Raw genomic sequence first — 20,146 nt, 5'->3', positions numbered from 1 at the left:
CAGGCACTGAGTATGATCTCACAAACTCTGTCAACACTACATCCATTTTCTGAGAATAAAATGATACAGGTGGTGATTCTGATGAGAAAGAGAAAAGTGTGAATCAGTGGGTGTAACTGACAGCCTATGCACCCAGGCACATACTAAGCATTATGCAGCATAACCCCCACTCTCAGGAATAGTTTATGCCCTTATTTTCTTCTTTCCCCAGTTTTCAGCCTATTTAAATTCTAGTCTCCATTCAACACTCAACTCATAGTTGGCCTCGTTTCTGAATTTCTGAGCTTCCTGAGTTGAGCACTCAATGAACTTTTCCTTCTCTGGACTAATGTTATATTTGTTATCTTTACCATGAAATCTGGTACTTGACTATTATGTATTTATACATTAATTTTTATGGTCTCGAATTGCTCTCATATATATCACCTGCAGGAATCACATGTGGAAATTCTCATGAGTGACTTGCCTTACCAGCTATTTGTAAAAGAATATACCAGATTTTTTACTAAGAGGTGTTACAGTTTCCTGGTTGAGAGCAACGTTTCTGTAAACAGCCTCTAGAGTTGAGTCCTTGCTCTATCTCTTACTAGCTCTGGCACCACAGGCAAATTGCTCAATAACTCTTTGCCTCTGTTTTCTTATCTGTAATCAGGAATAACAATACCTACAAGAAAAGGTCATTGTATAGGTTAAATGAGTTAATATACATAAAACATTTACAGCACTGCTGGACATGTAACCAGTTTTTAAACTTATAATTATAGAAAATTATAATTATAAATATTGCTTACTTAATAAAAATTTAATTGAACACCTACTACATATCAGACATATAGGAAAGAGAGAACGTTCTAAAATGTGAAAGGAAAAAGAAGTGAGGAAGCCAGCAATAACTGAGTATGGCTTTGCAGCATTTTGCAGACCAGGTTAAAGATTCTGGCTATTATTCTCTGAGAAGTTAACAGGAAAGTTGAAAATGGGGTAGCAAACCAGTTCACTTTAAAAATAAAAAACTTTCAAAACTAAATAAAGCTATCACAAGAAAAGAAAATTGGAGATCACTATCCTTTATGATTATAGACATAACAATTCTCAACAATACACTAGATAATGGAATCTGGAAACATCTAAAAAAGACTTACACACTGTGACAAAGTTGGATTTATCCTAATAATGAAGATTGGCTCAATATCCAAAAATCAATAAATGTAATATACTATATAAATTGGATAAAGGACAAAATCCACAATGATCATCTGAGGTGCCAAAAAAGTATTTGACAAAAATCTAACACCTTTTTGTGATAAAAACAACAGCACTCTATAAGTAGGGAACTACCTCACACTGATAAAGTCTATGCATGAGAAACTCACAGATGACATCATACTTGAAAATAAAAGAGCAAATGCTTTCCCCCTATAATCAGTAACAAAACAAGGATGTTTACTCTCAATACTTCCATTCAGCATTGTACTGGAAGTTCTAGCCTGGGAAACTTGGCAATAAAATGAGACAAAAAAGTAAAACTACCTCCATTTGCATATGATATGAACCTGCATATTTAAAAATCCTAAGGAATCCATCCAACACCTATTAGAATTTATAAATGTGTTCATCAAGGTTGAAAGATATAAGATCAACATACAAAAATCAAATTGTATTTCTTTACCTTAGCAACAAACAATTCAAAATAGAAATTTTAAAAAGGTTCAATTTACAATATCATCCAAAATATTAAAATGCTCAGAAATAAATTTAACAAAAGATGTATAAGACTTTTACTCTGAAAACAATAAAATTGCTGTAATACATGAAAGATGTAAATAAATGGAAAGGCATCCCATGTCCATGAGTTGAAAGACTTCCTATTGTTAAATGGTAATACTTCCCAAGTTTATCTATAGATCCAATGCAATACCAGTTAAAATTCCAATTTTTTTTTTTTTTTTGCAGAAAATGAGAAGTTATCCTAATATTTATATGACAATTCAAGAGGCCCAGACTAGCCAAAATAATCTGGAAAAAGAAGAACAAAATTAAAGGATTCATATTTCCTACACTACACTGAATGCTTATGTCCTCCTCTGATTCATACATTGATGTCCTGATCACTAAGATAATAGTATTAGATGGAGCCTTTGAGAGGTGATTAGGTTATAGGCAGAGTCCTCATGGATGAGATTAGCAGCCTTATAAAAGATACCCCAGAGAGCTCCCTTGCCCTTTCCACAATGTGTGGTTACAGGGAGAAGGCTGCTATCTATAAGAAATCCAGCCATCACCAAACACTGAATCTGCTGGCACCTTGGATTTCCAAGGCTCTGGGACTGTGAGAAATAAACCTGTGTTTTTTATTAGGCACTCAATCTATGATATTTTGTTATAGTAGCTCAACAGACTAAAAAAACTTCCCAATGTCAACATTAACACAAACATATAGCAATCAAGATAGTGTGGTGTTGGCATAAGTATAGACATATAGAGTAACAAAATAGAATTGGGAGTTCAGAAATGAGCCCTTACATTTACAGTAAGTTGATTTTCAGCAAGGGTGCCAAAATAATTCAATGGTAAAAAGAATAGCTATTTTAAACAAATTGTGCCACAATAGGTAGACACACCAATGCAAAAGAATGAAGTCAAATCCCTTCCTCACACCATAAACAGAAATAACTCAAAATGTGTCATAGACATACATGTAGGAGCTAAAGCTATACAAGTTTTCCAAGAAAACATAGCAGTAAAACTTTGTGATATTGGGTTAGTCAAAGCCAGCTTAGACAAAAGCACAAGTGACCAAAAAAAAAAGGGTAAGTTAGTAATACTTTTGTGCTTCAAATGACATAATGAAGAAAGTAAAAAAGCAAGTCAGAGAATGGGAGAAATTATTTGCAAATTGTATATATATGTGTGTGTGTATATATATATATACACACACACACCTTATATATAAAACTTATTATATATGTGTATATATATATACTATATATATACACACACACACATACACACCCCTTATATATATAAGCACGAGAATCACTTGAACCTAGGAGGCAGAGGTTGCAGTGAGCCAAGATTGTGCCTTTGCTCTCCAACCTGGGTGACCTTAAATATATATATGCACCTTATATACATACACACACACACACACACACACATATATATAAAATAAGGGACTTATATTTAGAATAATAAAGAACTCCAACTCAACAAGAAAAAGACAACTCAATTCTAGAAGATTGGGAGGATAACCATACAAGCCAGTCATCTTTATGAGAGGCTGAGAAAAACAGTACTAAATAACACCAATTGGAATCAGCAACATAGAGAACTCTTTGGTGGTGATGAGTATGGAAGTCATCATGAACTGTACAGGTTTTTAATAGCATGAACTGTACAGGTTTTTAAGAAAAAGGGAACGGAGATGACAACTAAAACCAATTCTTCCAATAGGAAGAGAAATAGAATCAACAAAGACTGTGACCAGCAATTTGAAAAGTCATTGACAACATTTCCAAGAATTTAGATGGAGGAGAAGCTTGCGTCTGTTAGTAGTAATTAGGTTAAGGATTACCCCTCAGGTATTTTAAAAAATTCTCTCCTACTAGCTGCATTACATCACTACTGTACTATGTTGTGTGTACTAAAATGATGTGTTTCTATGTCTAGGTCTCCAGCTAAAATGAAATTGTTCCTACTCTTAGAGCAATTACATAGTAGATGTGGATGATAGGTTTCTGCTGGGATTAGGCATAACAAATTGGTTATCAATTACATCAGGCCATACTGGTGTGTTAAAGAAAAAGATGTCTCAATTCATCAAATGAGCTTCCAACCTACTCAGGCCTGCATTTTCCTTCCCTTTGTTCTTTATCTTCAGTGTTTTGTTTTCTAAGATTCTATGTTTTCCTAATTAACCTGCATTTTATTTATTTCTGAATATTTTAGGCCCAAAGACAAAAGATATTTCTGAATATTTTTAATAGAGGTGCTAAGATTCTTTGTTTTCCATCCTTTTAGATGTAGAATTTACATAATGTTGGTATTATATCATATTGATGCCAGGCATTTGGGAAGAAATACAGCTAACAGTATCAGATGTAAGCAATAGTATCTTGGGAGCAGCACCTTAAAAAGCTGAATAATTTTGTAGTATTTATGAGCTGTTGCTGCCTATTGCAAGTCTGTAAGAGCCAGCAAGGAAAAGATACAGTCTCTATATTGAGATCTTCAAGGATAAAACATCTTTAACTGCATAGGTAAATATGATATTTGTACATTTCCTTTCTTTCACTGCTTAGAATGAAGATTCACTTGTCATAAGATTTTTTTTTTTTTTTTTGGTCTGCAGAAAGACATTGAAGTGGAGATTGTGAAAATACTGTGAAATGAGGAACAAACATTAGCCCATATAAAGCTTTGACATATTGTATTATTTTGACTTGAACATTAGACAACAAATTGCTGGCTCCCATAATGTCCATGGATAGTATGACGACAATAAGCTTGCTAATGTTTGGTAAGACTCCGAAATGCTGAAACCCTATGGCAGCTGTCACTATTGCGAATGGAGTGCCCTGGTGAATAAAGGAACAAATGAATTAATAAATTAACAGAGGCTGGGCACAGTGGCTCACACCTGTAATCCCAGAACTCTGGGTGGCCGAGGTGGGTGGATCACCCGAGGTCAGGAGTTTGAGACCAGCCTGACCAACATGGTGAAACCCTGTCCCTATTAAAAATACAAAAATTAGCCAGGTGAGGTGGTGCATGCCTATAGTACCAGCTACTCGGAGGCTGAGACACGATAATCGCTTGAACCCAGTAGGCAGAGGTTGCAGTGAGCCGAGATTGTGCCATTGCACTCCCACCTGGGTGACCGAGTGAGACTCTATCTCAAATTTTTAAAGTAGCTAATTAATTAATTAATTAATAACAGATATGAGTCTTTAATATACAACATGGTTACATAAAAGATATTTTGGTTTTGTAATATTTATAGGAAAGTTGGAACAATGCCTGGCACATAGTAAGTGTTCTATAAAACGGTGCTGATGGTCAAGTTATTTCTAAGAATAAGTGCGGATATAGTGTCTGGGAGGGGCAAATGGTTTTGAAGCAGACGAACTCTAGAAGGGGATGTGAAGACTTTAACCTTCTGGTTCTCCGAGCTGTGTTACCACATTGCCAGGAGTCAGACTGAGGATCTTCTCAGGGTGAGAGTAGCAGCAGAGCAAGACGGTTCTGAAGCTTTCTCTGATCATATCGGGGGCTCTCTGGAACAGGTGAGTGACCTGATTTTCAACAAATGACACAGTAAGATGGTGTTCAGACCATCATCAAACCTCTGTGGATTCCGATGGAATTATACCTCTTGCCAGGGGCTGAATGGAGAATAGCTTCTTATGAGATTGACAGGAATGTCAGGACCTGAAATTTCTTCACTTCCTAACAATGAACAAATAATGCTGTTAGCTTTTCTTACATCATCATTAGATTTCCCTTTCATACGTGGTGCCCAGAGTATTTGGAGGTCAAACAATGGCCAGCTATGGAGTGACGTCCCTGTAGTTTGGGTAGGGGCTTATTCCTATAGACAAGGGATAAATCTCAATAAAGTTACTAGTTTCTTCTTTCTGTAGAGGCCCAGAGGTGGAGGTTACATAAGACAGTCATCCTGCCCTCTTTTCCTGATGTGGCTAGTGCAGAGGGAGCTGTGCTGAGTGCATACAATGTCCTAGGGGGATGTTCCTCGCGTTTAAAAAGGACATTGTATGAGGAAGCCAATTCTGGATGCATTTACAAATCTTCCCAATAAACTGAGCCTAAAGTGCTATTCTTTCTTGAAGAGTTTAAAAGGAATAAAAAAAAAAAAAAACCTCATGGAAAGAAAAAAATGAGGGACCCTGGAACATCTTCTTTTCAATGAGAATGGGAAATTGGTTGATACATTGAAGCAAAGATTTTCAGCTTTTAAGGCTCCAGTCTCCTCTGCCTGTAAACAAACATGGGGCAACGAGAAACAACAGCAGCAAGAAGACACACTCTTAATCCAGGACAATAGCAAAACACTCTTCTAAAAAAGATGCGCTAATGATCCTTTGTGATACTAAATTGTGCAATTAGAAAGATGGAAAGCAAATAGCCTTAATTTAAAGGCTACATATTTTGTTCACCCCCTACTGATCACTGCTGCCAGACCCTGTGGGTTTTTGCTGAATTCATATGTCTTTTGCTCTTGAGCCATGAAATTATTTGTCATTTCTCTCTAGTGAACTGTTAATGGAGAGCACTAAAATTCAATTTAAAAGTGGGAGTTACTACATAATACTATCATTGATGATGGATTATGGGATTTAAAGGGACTGTCCACATCATAACTTTTTTGAGGTTATAAACTATCAGAAAGAAAAGACCTCTGTAATATGCTAATGCAGAAAAAGCCAAACATGTTCATGGGAATATAGCTACTGATGAGACTTCATCATCACCTCATGGACAAAATAGGCTGAAAATCCCATGATCTAATTACAAAGACTCCCCAAGGAAGAATGCACTGGATCCAGGTGGTTAAAAAAATTATTGCCAGCCGGGCGCGGTGGCTCACACCTGTAATCCCAGCACTTTGGGAGGCCAAGGCAGGCAGATCACCTGAAGTTAGGAGTTTGAGACCAGCCTGACCAAAATGGAGAAAAACCGTCCTACTAAAAATACAAAATTAGCCAGCTGTGGTGGCACATGCCTGTAATCCCAGCTATTCCGGAGGCTGAGACAGGAGAATTGCTTGAACCCAGGAGGTGGAGGTTGTGGTGAGCCACAGTTGCACCACTGTACTCCAGCCTGGGCAACAAGAGTGAAACTCTGTCCCTACCAAAAAAAAAAAAAAAAAAAAAAAATTATTGCCTTTTAGATAAGAATATTGACAGCCAAACTTCTTTGCCAGAGATGTCTAGATGTTCACCAAACCTGGTTTTCTCTTCCTTCTGGGTCATATCTTGATGACATTTCTCAGCCTCCCTTGCCCTGTCCTGTGTGGTCTGTGTCTGGACTCAGAGACGTGGCATGTGCTTGGAAGTGACACGCACCACTCCCAAGCCCCACCCATAAATCCCTCTGGTGTGATATACTCCATGTTCTTCCCCACACTCTCCTGTTGGCAACCACGGTAAAAGAGAGCTGAGCTAGAAGATGGTTCCTGAATGATTGGCGAGAAGCTGCCTGCTGGTCAGATACATACTTTTGGGTGTTGGGTAAGTGAGAAATAACCTACAACTGGATTAAGCCATGAAGACTTTGGAATGTATGTATTGTATCAGTGGCTAACATTATCTGCATATGTTTAACTGAATTGACAAGCCATTTTATGAAGTGGTCAAGTACATGGGCTTTGGTGTCAGACAGATCTGAATGTGAATCTCTGCTCTGTCAACTGTGGCCACATAAACTTGGGCATGTTGCTGAATCTCTCTGAGTCTGGGTTATCTCATTTATGAAACCAGGATGGGCGTGCCCACCTTGCACCTCTTTATGAGACAGTAGTAAGATCACATTTTTCAGTTGTTGGCACAAGCTGGCACACAGCAGGTGCTCATGCTCCTCTTTCCAGTACCAGTTTATTCAATTCAAGATGCAGGTGCAGTCCTGGCTCAAGCAGATTTTTCCAAGATTAGGAACCCAGCGGTTGGGAAACAGTACATGAAATTACAAAGCTGAGTTATATAGATGCCCATCTACTCTAGGCGTTTCTAATGCAAATATTGTAAACCAGAGGCTTGTAGGCTGAATTCAGCCCTTGGCTATGTCTTGTTTGGTGTAAGTACAGTGTTAAAGGTTTTTAAATTACTTAATATTTGAAATTACAGTGAAAATAAAATTTCTAGTTCGTCTCTCTCTCTTTCTTTCTCTCTCTCTCTTTCTCTCTTTCTTTCTTTCCTTCCTTCCTTCCTTCCCTCTTTCTTTCTTTCTTTCTTTCTTTCTTTCTTTCTTTCTTTCTTTCTTTCTTTCTTTCTTTCTTTCCTTCCTTCTTTCTTCTTTCGAGAGGGGGTCTTGCTCTGACACCAAGGCTGATCTTGAACTCCTGGGCTCAAGGGACCCACCTGCCTTGGCCTCCCAAAGTGCTGGGATTACAGGTGTGAGCCACTGCAGCCAGCCTCTAGCTTAGCTTAAGTAATTGAATCCTCTGACACAGTTGGCCCACATTCTCACCTTGGTAATAATGGAGTGGAGCAGAGTATCAACTGCCTGCTCTGGATGGGATCTGCAGTCTCTGGTTACTGCAATTTCCAGAGTACCCACATCTGCTATTATCACCTCTCTGGCTCCTGGAGGGATCTGAGTTTCCAAACATGGATCTCTAGTCTGATGGCCAGGATAGGAAAACCCCATATAATCTTACCATGTGCCAGGTACTGTTCTAAGCATTTTGTCTATAATGTGATTTGATCTTTACAACAAACTTATGTAAATGGTACTCTCATCATTCCTATTTTTTAGAAGAGAAAATAGATGTACGAGAAAATCAGGTAACTTGCCCAAAGTCACGCAATCAGAAGATGGGGTTCAAATCCACGAAGTCCAGCTCCAGCGTTGGGCTCTAAAATGGCTGTGCCACCCCACCTTTTATGTTAACCAGCCCATTTTTGGTGCTATACACATTGTGTGTGTGTGTGCAATACCCCCTTATACCATGTTCTCTTGGCAGGTAGCTTGCAGGAGTTTACCGCTTAAGTGCAGGAAAACCTAGCTGGCAGTTCATTTTAGAAATTAATTCTTGAGGAAGTAGTGCAGAGGACCTCAGTGACTTAGTAGATGGAAGTTAATTACCCATGGCTTTCGTAAGTAGAGAAAGTGCCAAATGAAATGGAGAGAAAGCCAGATTCAGACAAAAGGAAATATCTGCCAAATGCCTCCTTTCTCCAGCTCCAGAGGAGAAAATAAACAGGATTGCAAGAAATATCCAGATTCCTGTATTTTACAATAATAAGGTAATTTCTGACCTAATTTATTTGTGGATCCCTCACTTCTTATTATATCACTAGCTAAGACCTCAACAATGAGAAAAAAAAGTCAAATGTCCCAAGGCAGCTTTATTTGGGATAGTAAATATCCTAAAACCCTGTGAGGCAGATGATGTTAATAATATCACTATTTAGCTACTGGAAACCCTGAAGTATCAGAAGGTTAAATGACTCCTCTAGGCTCATAACCATCCAGATGTCCTGGCTCTTACCCAATGTCCTAGCACCGTCATTCCCAGATTTTAATAATAATGCTTGCATTATGATGCTGCGGGGCTGTTTTCAAAGCTGAAAAACATTTTTATTTGATTTTTAATCTCACAACAACTTTATGGCATAAGTAAAACCAGCTTATCACATTTTTTTAATGATAAAACCTGAGTCTAAGAGAGATGACTAAACTTGCCCCTGGTCACAAAGCAGAAAATAATAGAGAAATAAATCCAGATCCTCTGATTTCAACTGCAGTAAGTATTCTACTACATTAACTTGCTATGTACCATTTTCTTCCTAGAGTCAAGAATTCTGGAGCTGTTTCAGAGAGCTGCACACAAAGGTTTACCAGCAAATATCCTGGAGTTAGTAAAAGAGCCTAGTTTTTAGATCGGTAGTCCTTTTCCTATTTTTAATTTTAGATTCAAGGGCCACATGTGCAGGTTTCCTACAAGGGTATATTGCACCCATGCGGAGCTTTGGGTTTCTACTGATCCCGTCACCCAAATAGTGGACATAATACCTAATAAGGGCCAGGCGCGGTGGCTCACTCCTGTAATCCCAGCACTGTGGGAGGCCAAGGCGGGCAGATCACTTGAGGTCAGGAGCTCAAGACCAATCTGGCCAACCAGGTGAAACCCCGTCTCTACTAAAAATACAAAAAATTAGCCAAGCATGGTGGCATGCACCTGTAATCCCAGCTACTCAGGAGGCTGAGGCAGGAGAATCACTGGAACTCCTGAGGTGGAGGTTGCAGTAAGCCGAGACTGCACCACTGCACTCCAGCCTGGGAGACAAAGTGAGACTGTCTCAAAAAACAAGAAACCAACCAACAAACAAAAAAACCTAATAGGTAGTTTTTCAACCCTTCCCCTTCTCCCACCTACCTCTCCCTTGGAGTCCCCAGTGTCTACCATTTCCATTTTTATGTCCATGTGTACCCAATGTTTAGCTCCTACTTATGAGCGAGAAAATGCAGTATTAGGTTTTCTGTTTCTGCATTAATTCACTTAGGATAATGGCCTCCAGCTGCAACCATGTTGCTGCAAAGGACATCATTTTGGGTTTTTTTATGGCTGCATAGTATTCCATGATGTATATGTACCACTTTTTTTTAAATCCAATTTGCCATTGATGAGCACATAGATTGATTCAATGTCTTTGCCATTGTGAATAGCGCTGCAATAAACATTCGTGTTCATGTGTCTTTGATAGAACAATTTATTTTCCTTTGGGTATACAGCCAGCAAGAGAATTGAGAAATATCCAAACTGGTGTCCACAGTGACTAAACTAATCTACATTCCCACCAACAGTGTATAAGAGTTCCCGTTTCTCTGCAACCTAGCCAAAATTTATTATTTTTTGATGTTTTAATGATGGCCATTCTGACTGGTATGAGATGGTGTCTCACTGCGGTTTTGAGTCACATTTCTCTGCTGATTAGTGAGGTTCAACATTTTTTCATATGTTTCTTGGCCACTTGTCTGTCTTCTTTTGAGAAATGTCTGTTCACGTTCTTTTCTAGGTAGGTAGTCTGAAAAGGCACAAGATTGAGGAACCTGGAAGTGAAAAGCCAGAAGAAGTGTTATCAAAAGCTAGAGAAGCCAATAAACAGAGTTCCAGACTTGAGCCATTGAAACAGAAAGAAGTCAGGAAAATTATATATACATCCAGTATAAGGCAAGCAGAATTGGAGAAAAGTACTATCAGTTATGATTGTATCGGCTGCTTGTGGACAGGAACCCAATCACAGTGACTCGTTCACATGTGGGTTTATTTTCCTTATGTAACTATAATCTGGAAATTAACAGGCCACAGTTAGTACTGTGACCTTTCAATGCCTTAAGCTCACAGACTCCTTCTTGGCTCTCTGCTCCATCCTTAGTTTGTTGCTTTCATTTGAGGCTCAAAATGTGGGCACTGTGTCCACTGTCCAAGAAAAAAAGAGAATAAAGAGCTAAAGAAACAGAGAGGCAAACCATCTGGGACAGTCCCCTTTTTAAAGAACATTTCTAGAAATCTCCCCTTTACAATGCTTGGCTGCATCTCACTGGCCTGAATTATGTTGTATGACCACTCCTGGTTAAAAGGGATTCAGACAAACTGAGGTTTCTTTGGTTTTGAGATCATTACATAGCTATTCTGCACAGAATTCAGCTCTATAACTGCATCAGTTAGCATCCTAATGGGAAACAGATGGCACATCCAAATTAAAATATTAAGATGATAAATGGGCCACAGACAATGGTGCAGCTAGGTGTAGGGCGTCTCCGAAGATCCATACAGTTACCTGGGACCAGTAACAGGCTATCAGTTAGGCCAGAAGGGATGAAGAGAGAATGAGCTATCCCAACCAGGCAAGGCAGAAGTAGGCAGAGAATGCCACTTTGAAAGGAGTAGTGACCTTTGATCAAAGGACACTATCAGCCCAAGGCAACCTAGAAAAAGAAAAGGTACTAATAGCCTGCACTCACTTTCCACCCTCCCTCTTATATCTGCCAAAACTCCCTATTGGCCAAACAGAAGCCCAGGGCAAATGAACCTTTTGATGTCATCCCTATGGGGCAGTACCTTGAGGATGACAGCAAACTCACAGGAAGTGGATTCAGAATCAAACAGACAAATCCTGTCCAGGACTCAAATTTTTAACCGCCTTTCTTCCCCAATTTGTTCTTATCTACCTGTGTTCCCTCAGTTTGGAACATTAAGATATTCCTGCCCACTACCCTTCTCTCACCTAAGCCCTTCTCGTCCTTCAGCCTAAGAATCACATCCACGTAGAGGCCATATGCTCTCAAGGTACCCCCCTGGGAGGCACTCACCACCCTGTAATTTACCTAATTAATGGGCATTTTACATCAGGCTGTATGCACCTTCACAATCTTTTTTATTCCAGCAATGCCCAGTGCAAATATAGCACAGAGATCTATTAGACATTCAATAAGTATTTGTTTGTATTTATCATTGCAAAATAGGAATTGCTCAATTGCCCACAGTTTGGGGTGTATGGAATATATGCATTGGCAGCTGAGTTGTCCTGTAGAATATTTCATTTCAGCCTGGAGGATTATTTCTGCTTAATCCTGAAAATTGATCTGTGAGAGACTCAAGCAGCAGATCTGGTTTCTCTGCCCTGGGCAATGTCGGGGAGGCTTGGACAAATTCAAGACTTCTTGCGCAGCCCCAGGCTTTTGTGATGAATTGAGCTCTTCTACCTTTTGCATGGGTAATGAAGAAGGGCAGGGGGCAACACTGGCAATTATTTCTCGATGCACAGGCAGCAGATATGGCTTTGATGAGTGTGTGTGCATACACGCACGTGTGTGTGTGTGTCTATTTGTGCACACAGATGGACATGAGAAGGAGGCGTTAGAGATTGTGGCTTGGCCAAATAATCCCACACATCTCTTGCCCTGAGGACACATGTGAATGATTTGAGGAGGCCCTTTGTGGTTTTGTTTTGTTTTGTTTGAGATGGGGTCTCATTCTGTCGCCCAGGCTGGAATGCAGTGGCATGATCTTGGCTCGCTGCAACCTCCCCCTCCCGGCCTCAAGTGATCCTCCCACCTCAGCCTCCTGAGTAGGTGGGATCACAGACATGCACCACCATGTCTAGCTAATTTATTTGTATTTGGTAGAGATGGGGCTTTACCATGTTGCCCAGGCTAGTGTCAAACACCTGAGCTCAAGCAATCTGCCTGCCTTGGCCTCCCAAAGTGCTGGAATTATAGGCATGAGCCACCGCACCTGACCATGGAGGCCCTTTGTTAACATGAGTTCATGGTAGCCAGAGCCCAAAGTCAGCCAACTTTTCCCTCATCTTGTCCAAAGATGACTAGAATTTCTGTCTTCCTCTCTGAAAACAACAAAGGAATTTTCCAGTTGTATGCTAGATGGGTTACAGTTGTAGCTGTTACACTAACAAACTCTGCTCATCCTTCCCCCAAGTAGCTACAGGGACCCTGAAATGTACTCTTTGTACATTTCTTTTATGCTCTACAAAGATGTATAATTATATACTGTGATTAGACAACTTAATCATACAATATTGATTAAGCAGCTAGGCAGAGCATGTTTCTTTCTAATCTGTGCTGCATCTTCATCATGTAATATAGTCAACAACTGATAGGTGTTGAGTAAATAAAGATGTAACGCATTGTCATGATACTTGAGGGAAGTGTTAGTACTTCAGAGTCTCTTATTCTTCATGTTAACCCTTAGGGTGTTATAGTCATCTTACCATAGTCCCTCCCCCAGTTCATGTGCACCCTTCCTGTATCACTGTTGATACTCTCAGAAGTGATCCCCTTACTGGGTATGCAATTACCTCAAAACATACTATTTGATGTAATTAATAAATTATAATTTATCTTACCTTACTGATTTTAGTATACTTGATTATATTTGAGAATAGCTGGACAAATTTTAGGATGTAATCTAGCATTATTAAAAACAAATGTACAAAATTATTAGGAGATCATATTTATCCCTTGTTCCTGAATCACTGGGGAAGATGTGATTCATGCCTGCTCCATGCTATGCATTTGAAAACTGAAGCACGTGCGTGTATGTGAGTGCACACAATAACATGAAGATAGAGTCTCTCCAATAATTCAACTTATACAAGCCCATATTTATCTCAACATTGTATATGTAGATTTCTATAGCACCCTGAAAGTTGAATTCTTAAATATTCATGTGTGTAGTAAACTGATACTGAAGTTTCAATCATTCACAGCTTACCATCTTGCCATCCCCTCCATCTGCCCAGCCACCTCCCACTCATCCTTCCAGGCCCCATCCAAGCATAAGCTCCACCCATACTGATGCTTCTCTTAGTCAATTTGTCTTTGTGCTTTATCTATTTCACCCCAGGAAATCCCAATTTAACAGAGTTCACCTATTTTCTACTTGCCTATGATGGATCATTTATTATTTCATCACAGAATTTTATCTTTTGTTTTTTATGTGCATAAGTATTTTATCTCCCAACTAATAATAAAGGCTAACATTTATTGAGCACTTTTCTGTATCAATTCATTTAATCTTCCTAATAAACGCTAAAAGTGTGTATTATTATTATTATTTCCATTTTATCAGATAAAGTAGTGGACACAAAGAAAGTGTAAGAAACTTTTCCTAGGTCACCTACAATTAGGTAAATTCATCCACTTTTTTTCTACAGTCATGAAATATTTACTCATAGCAATGTTGTTTTAGATGAGAGGTTCTGCATAATCAGTTATTCCTGGGGAGGGGCAGTAGCTTGTAGTTTTGCAGCTATAGCTATACCTCTGAAACTTCCCATAGTGCCAGGCATATAGTACCTGCCAGAGGCATGCTTGTGGGTTAACTGAGCTATTACATATTATATATGATTTTGAATTTACCAAACAAGATTAAATTTAATGTTAAGCTAAGGTACAATCCTACAGAATCTCAATGCCACTGAGATATGCTCTTTCTCCATGCATATGGTTGGATGGCCACACAGCCCAGCTCACTTAGTAGAAGAAAGCCACCTCCTAGTACTCTGCCCCTCCAGGAGAAATTTGATTTTGGATTAAGAGTTCACTTTCAAACCAAACTGTACACATCCTGCTGCTTTATTTCATAATTGCATATTGACATGAATGCAGTGACAGTTGGGGTCCCTCTGGCCAACTGCATGCTACGAGAATCTTCTTCCTAGAATCTAACCCAACTGATCAACGGTTATTACAGCTCTGGGGTTCCTTACAGTCAAAAGATTTGTCTCTGTCAAGATTTTTAGTAGAGGAAAAGGCATTATCTTCTAGATAGGGTTATATAAAGCAGCTCTCCAGCATTAAGAAACATAGCTTTGCCAATACTTCTGCTCATTGCAAAGAAACAGGTAAGGCACCACTTCCAGAATATATGGCAAAGGGAATGGAGTTGAGTCTTGGCTCTAACACAGTTTAACATCCCCAAATCCAAACTGTCTAAATAGGTACACGTTGAATTCTTTGTCAAACAATTTATAGAACTGGATGGAATCTAGTTATCAAAATTTCCCATTTTATTGTTAATTAAATAAAGGTTTTTATAGACCTGTGTGACTTGTCCAAAGCTATGACTACCTGGGTAGGTAGTGTCAGACTGGGTAGTAAAATAGAGGCCTTATAATTCTTTTTTTTTTCTTTTTGAGATGGAGTCTTGCGCTGTCACCCAGGCTGGAGTGCAGTGGTGCAGTCTCAGCTCACTACAACCTCTGCCTCCCAGGTTCAAGTGATTCTCCTGCCTCAGCCTCCTGAGTAGCTGGGACTATAGGCGCATGCCACCACACTCAGCTAATTTTTGTATTTTTTTGGTAGAGAAGGGGTTTCACCATATTGGCCAGGCTGGTCTTGAACTCCCAACCTCGAGATCTGCCTACCTTGGCCTCCCAAAGTGCTGGGATTACAGCTGTGAGAGGCCTTATAATTCTTATTCCAGAATTATTTTCTTAGTACTCTGATATTCTCAACTGCTTATAGAATATGCCGTCTCACAGACACTTCTCAAAAGAAGACATGTAAGTGGCCAACGAACATGAATAAATGTTCAGCATCACTAATCATCAGAAAAATGCAAATTAAAGCCACAATGAAATACCATCTCATACCAGCCGGAATGATTATTGTTAAAAAGTCAAAAAAGAGGCCGGGCGCGGTGGCTCATGCCTGTAATCCCAGCACTTTGGGAGGCTGAGGCAGGCAGATCACGAAGTGAGGAAATCAAGACCATCCTGGCTAAGACAGTGAAACCCCATCTCTAATAAAAATACAAAAAAAAAAAAAAATTAGCCAGGGGTGGTGGCAGGCGCCTGTAATCCCAGCTACGCGCGAGGCTGAGGCAGGAGAATAGTGTGAACCTGGGAGGCAGAGCTTGCAGTGAGCCGAGATCACGCCACTGCACTCCGGCCTGAGTGACAGAGTAAGACTCTGTCTCAAAATAATAATAATAATAATAATAATAATAATAATAATAATAATAAAATAAAAAATAAAAAGTCATAAAATAACAGATGTCGGTGAGGTTGTGGAGAAGAAGGAATGCTTATGCTGTTGGTGGGAATGCAAATTAGTTCAACCCTTATGGAAAACAGTACAGAGATTTCTCAAGAACTAAAAATGGAACGATCTTTTGACCCAGCAATCACATTAATGGGTACAAATGAAAAGAATTGTTTTATAAAAAAGACACATGCACTCATAGGTTCATCACAGCATTATTCACAAGAGCAAAAGCATGGAATCAACCTAAGTGTCTGCCAACAGTGGAATGGATAAAGTAAATGTGTTACAAATATACCAGGGGATACTACACAGACATAAAAAAGAACACATTCATGTCCTTAGCAGCAATATGGATGCAGCTGGAGGCTATTATCTTCAGCGAAATCATGCAGGAAAAAAACCGAAATGTTCTCACCTATATGCAGGAACTAAACAATGGGTAAGTATTATCATAAAGATAGAAACAATAAACTCCAAAAGCAGTGAGGGAGGGAGGGGGACCAGGTTTGGAAAAACCACCTATTGGGTTTACTATTTCGGTGATGGGTTCACTAGAGGCCCAAACCCCAGCATTACACAGCACACCCATGTAACAAACCTGCACATGTACCTCTTGACTCTATAATAAAATAAAATATATTTCTTGGGAGGCCAAGGCGGGTGGATCACTAGGCCAGGAGATTGAGACCATCCTGGCTAACACTGTGAAACCCCGTCTCTACTAAAAATACAAAAAATTAGCCGGGCGTGGTGGCGGGCACCTGTAGTCCCAGCTACTCGGGAGGCTGAGGCAGGAGAATGGCGTGAACCCAGGAGGCAGAGCTTGCAGTGAGCCGAGATCGCGCCACTGCACTCCAACCTGGCCGACAGAGCGAGACTCTGTCTCAAAAAAAAGATAATAATAAAAATAAAAAATAAAATAAAATAAAATATATTTCAATTTGAAAAATTGAACAGAACTTCTTTGGAGCACAGCCAGTGAGTCATCCCTCTAATATAAACTATTTCTATTATTGTATAGCCTGAGGATTGGTTAATTACAGATTTGGCATCCCGCTTAGAAGCTATGGAAAACAAAATGAAACAACAAAACAGAGTACGATTGGAATGTGGGACTGGCTTTGAAATCACAGGGTAAAATTTAAGCAAGTGCTCACTGCTTGCAAAGGTCCTGCACCGGACACTTACTTGCTTCTGCCTTTGTCTTGCCATGTCCTGTAGAGGTAGCTCCTGGACCATCCTGTAAATGTGGAAACCCCAGAAGCCTCACACCCTTACCCAACATGTGAGTGTCTATGAATGGGCAACATAAAAATTTTATGGTTTCCACTAAGTTTCTGGGGGCTGTTCAGGGAAGCAAGTCCCATTTTTCTCTCTGCCAGCTAATACAGTTGTCTCCTCTTTTCCAGTTTTATTTACCCAAGGTCAACCACAGACTGAAAATATTAAATGGAAAATTCCCAAAATCAACAATTCATAAGTTTTAAATTGTGCATTGTTCTGAGTAGAGTGATAAAATCTTTCCCAGTCCTGCTCTGTCCCACCCAAGGTATGAATCATCCCTTTGTCCAGCAAATCCACACTGTAGATGTCATCAACCCCTGAGTCAACTAGCAACTGTCTCAGTTATCAGCTCAATGGTCATGATATGGCAGTGCTTATCATGAACTATGATGTGCTTGTATGCACGTCACCCTTATTTTATTTAATAATGCTATGTCACAATTTCTAACTCATTTGTCTCACTTCATCTCACCACAAAGGCATTGTATCTTCTCACATCAGCACAAGAAGGGTGAGCATAGTGCAATCAGATGTCCTGAGAGAGACATTCATGTAACTTTATTACAGTGTATTGTTATAATGTTCTATTTTTTTTTATTGTTGTTACTCTTACTATGCCTCATTTATAAATTACACTTTATCATAGGTGTATTAGTCAGGCTTCCTTCTCCAGAGGGACAGAATCCATAGAAAACATATATTTGAAAGGGAATTTATTAAAGAGAATTGGCTCACATGACCATAAAGGTAAGATCCCTCCACCAGATAGGTTTAAATGATTTCTGCAAGCTGGGGAATGATAGAAGCCAACTGCAGAAGGCCAAACAGCTGCTAAACAGAGGAGCTAGGAGTCACACCCGAGAGTTATATGAACCCAAAGCCACTTCCAATATCTACAGAATCTGACAGCAGAATAGGTGTTTAACGATCTTGAGAAGACTGTTTATTATTTCAGGGTTCATGATGTGATGAGCATCATGATGTTATGAACATGAAAAGCCCCACAAACTCAGTGAGCCAGTCCAAGTGTGGAACCTGAGAAGCAGGGAAGCTGGCAGAGCAGCTCCCAGCCTGAGGCCAAATGCCTGACAGCCCCACGGAAGCCGCTGGTGCAAGCCCCAGAGTCCAAAGGCTGAAGAACCTGAAGTCTGATGTCCGAGGTCAGAAGGAGAAAAGGCGTCCCGCTAGGGAAAAAAGAAAAAGATAAGAGGAGGTGTCAGACTCCGAAAAAACCAGTTCTCACTAGAACTGAGTGAGAACTCACTCGCTCCCAGGAGAATGGCACCAAGCCATTCATGAAGCATCCTCCGCCAGAATCCAAACACTTCCTATCTGGCCCCCCGTCCAACATTGCGGATCAAATTGTGACATGAGATTTGATCGGGCCTAACAAATCATATCCAAACCATAGCAATAGATATGTATGTGTAGTAAAAAACGTAGTATATATAGGGCTCGATGTCATTCACAGTAGACATTTCAGTGTCTACTGGGGGCCTGGGAAATATCCCCTGTGGGTAAGGGGAAGCTGCTGTACATTGGCTGGAGCCAGACCCAGCCTATGGCTGAAAGATCAGAGCTCCATCAGCATAATTTCTGAAAAGAACAAGCTGTTACATCAGTATTTTCCCATGACTTGCAAAAACAAAACAAGAGAATAGAGGTCAAAATGTATCGCATTTCAGCCATGAAAACCTAGTTTAAAGGTGTTTACAGAATTTTTTGCACAACATAAAAAGTGTGGGAAAATCTGCCTTGGCAGGTTGTGCATATGTACAATGTTTCTTAAACAACTAAACAAAGTGATTTAGATAAAAAGATTCTAAGAAAAAAAATTAGTGCAAGCTGCCTGTGATGAGAAAGAGGGAGGAAGGTGGTGAGGTCTGTACTGAAAAGTGTAACTGGCTGGGTCAGATGTAGCTATGATTTCATGTGGGTCCAAACTCCTTTAGACTTTGAGGAAAGTGATAGAAGTCTCAGTTTTGCCATACCTGAAGTCCCTAATACAGGTTTACCTGCAATTAAGCTAACATATTCACTCTGATTTGATTTCTTTTTTTTTTTTTTTTTTTTTTTTTTTTTGAGACAGAGTCTTGCTCTGTCTTCCAGTCTGGAGTGCAGTGGCACAATCTTGGCTCACTGCAACCTCCACCTCCCAGGTTCAAACAATTCTCCTGCCTCAGCCTCTCAAGTAGCTGGGATTACAGGCATCCACCACCACATCCAGCTGATTTTTTTTTTTTTTTTTTTTTGAGACGAAGTGTCAATCTGTCGCCCAGGCTGGAGTGCAGTGGCATGATCTCGGCTCACTGCAAGCTCCGCCTCCCAGGTTCACACTGTTCTGCTGCCTCAGCCTCCCGAGTAGCTGGGACTACAGGCGCCCGCCACAACGCCGGGCTAATTTTGCGTATTTTTTAGTAGAGACGGGGTTTTACTGTGTTAGCCAGGATGGTCTTGCTAGCTCCTGACCTCGTGATCCACCCGCCTCGGCCTCCCAAAGTGCTGGGATTACAGGCGTGAGCCACCGCGCCCGGCCTAATTTTTGTATTTTAGTAAAGACAGGGTTTTGCCATGCTGGCCATGCTGGTCAGGTCTCAAACTCCTGACCTCA

The 20,146-nt window shown here is 40.0% G+C and overlaps 1 annotated feature.

Annotated features, from left to right (window-relative positions):
• Positions 17,583 to 18,782: an enhancer, noted in NCBI's record as "BRD4-independent group 4 enhancer chr8:40206788-40207987 (GRCh37/hg19 assembly coordinates)". NCBI's record gives its function as "activates an origin of replication core promoter dependent on BRD2, P300/CBP, MED14 and CDK7 cofactors, and independent of BRD4, by STARR-seq in HCT116 cells {active_cell/tissue: HCT116}" and the evidence as "EXISTENCE:reporter gene assay evidence [ECO:0000049][PMID:35650434]".

The sequence above is a fragment of the Homo sapiens genome, chromosome 8 (genome assembly GCF_000001405.40).
Source record: "Homo sapiens chromosome 8, GRCh38.p14 Primary Assembly".
Classification (NCBI taxonomy): domain Eukaryota; kingdom Metazoa; phylum Chordata; class Mammalia; order Primates; family Hominidae; genus Homo; species Homo sapiens.
This window is presented reverse-complemented; position numbering and strand designations above follow the sequence as displayed.